Here is a 2,645-nt window from a genome sequence, read left to right as displayed (position 1 = left end):
TGCTGTATTAATTCTTGAGTGTGCAAAAGGGCATTAGGTTCTTTCCAGGGCAGGTCACTGGAGAAGACTGGTCAAGAGGATAATACCAGAAATCTCTCAGATTCTCCAAAAGAGATGAGAATAGACACTGCTGAAATTGATACAGGATACATATTCCCTCCCTACTACAAGATCAGTGGTGGCAGGGGAACTAGATTTCAGTGGATTAGTCTAGAATTCTAATGATGATGATGATGATGTCAGATATGTATCTTATATGGATAATCTAATTTTTATCAGTTTTATGACTGCACTCCTATATCTTATGATTTAGTTTTCTGGGATGGGATAGGGTATGAATATTTAGTGTGCAAGAGAGAATCCCTTGCCCATGTGCACCAAGAAATGTGTTTGAAGTTTGTTGGAAGTCGCATTCTTTTTGTAATTAAAAAACAAAACCTACAAAAATTAGTTGGGCATGGTGGCACACGCCTGTAATCTCAACTACTCAGGAGGCTGAGGCAGAGAATTGCTTAAACCCAGGAGACGGAGTTTGCAGTGAGCTGAGATTGTGCCACTGCACTCCAGCCTGGGTGACGGAGTGAGACTTCGTCTCAAAAAAAAAAAAAAAAAAAGAAACGACTGAAATGTTCCTAAGTAGCAAAATGGAAAAATGAATTACACTGTATTTATACAATGGAAATTTTCTAAAGCAGTAAAATGGACTATGGATGCAAGTTCTGAACACATAACCATGGAAATATCTCAGAAACATATTGCGTGGCTACTCCCACTAGAACAACCACCCCTGTTGCCTCTGGAGACCAGAAGCAGCTGCCAGCTCTGGCATCTCCCATCATCAAGACAGATTTTGGCTTCCTTAGGGAGAGTGTATCTGACTGGCAGACCTGGCCCATGCTGCAAGGCAGCCGGGGAAAGCAAATCTCTGTTACTTCCAAATTCTCTCATGGTAAGCACGGTTTAGATTATGAGGTAGAAAATTTCCAGATGATAGAAAGGGGGATGAGAAAGAGGACAACTGAAAAGAATATCAAACATGACTACAGACGCCTATAAAAAGACAGGAGATATAAGAAGCAGGTAAGCCAGGAAAATGCTTAATCTAAACAAGCTGTTCTTAATGTTTTAAAAGTAGTAGCAATAGAGAATTGAATTCTCAGATAATATTTTATGGGAGATGAAGAAGAGATAGAGAATTAAAAACATTCTGCCCTTTGTCCAGTTTTGAGGAATAATACAGATAATGATTAGGTCTAGGCATTGAAAGAAATATATCTAAATATTCCATTAAAATGAAAAGATAATCCCTTTGGGGCAGTAATATTGGAATGGGAGGGAGAAGGGTTTCAGGGGCACTGGTAATGTTTCTATGTTAGTTACATCGGTGTGTGAAAATTTATCAAACGGTACACTTACGTGCACTTTTCTTGTCTACATTATACTTAATGAAGTTTTTTAAAGAGTAATGTGGGCACATGGTTAAAAAAAAAACAACTACTTTTTTGACCGGGCGCAGTGACTCATGCCTGTAATCTCAGCACTTTGAGGGGCCAGGGTGGGCGGATCATTTGAAGCCATGAGTTCGAGACCTGCCCAGCCAACATGGTGAAACCCTGTAAAAAATTAGTTGGGCATGGTGGCATGTGCCTGTAATCCCAGCTACTCGGGAAAATGAGGCACAACAACAATTGCTTGAGCCTGGGAGGCTGAGGTTGCAGTGAGCCAAGATCGCGCCACTGCACTCCAGACTGGGTGACAGAGCCAGACTCTGTCTCAAATAAAAAAAAAAATAACGAAAAACAACCCCAGTTTTTTTAACGTATAGAAAGACATAGTAAACACTAAGTCTCCCTCATACCTCAGACCCACAGTCTTCTGTCTCTTACATAGAGGCAAAGCTGTAACAGTTTCTCCCAAGTCTTTCCAGAGCTGTTTTAGGATTATGTGTATTCATATTTGAGTGTGTGTTTGTATTTATGAATATATGTATGTATATTTCTTTTTTCTGCATCAGTATTCTAGTATACTATATGTATTGTTCTGTACCTTGCTTTTTTTTTTTTTAGCTGATTAGGTTGATCAGATTTCTTCTCTTTAATTATTGCCCCAAAATCATGAATTCCACTACATGTTTATACCATGATCGATTTATCTAGTCTATGGCTACTCAAAGCAATATAGCAAAAATATCTCTTTAAATAAGTAATTGCATGTGTGTGTAAATATATTTAAATTATATATGTATGAATATATATGTACATCAACATGGAATTACTAGATCGAGTGGTATATGCCATTCTAATTTTGATAGATATCGGTAAATTGCTCTTTGAAAACATTATACCATTTTGCATTCTACTAATAATGAAAAAAAGTACTGTTCCTCCATGTCTTTACCAGCACAATATATCATCAAACTTTTTCAAAGTGGTCAATCTGATAGGTGGAATGTACTACTTGTCCATTTTAATCTATATTTCTTTAATTAGCTAGCTCATTTAACTATTAGATAGAACTCCTTTCATATGTTTAACAGCCATTTGTATTTTTTGAACACTCTTATTTTGCTCGTTTTTATGGATTGCCATTTTCTTTAACTGTGGTATAATATACATAACGTAAAATTTACCATTTTAAACATTTTT

This window comes from Homo sapiens, chromosome 15 (genome assembly GCF_000001405.40).
Source record: "Homo sapiens chromosome 15, GRCh38.p14 Primary Assembly".
Taxonomy (NCBI): domain Eukaryota; kingdom Metazoa; phylum Chordata; class Mammalia; order Primates; family Hominidae; genus Homo; species Homo sapiens.
This window is presented reverse-complemented; position numbering follows the sequence as displayed.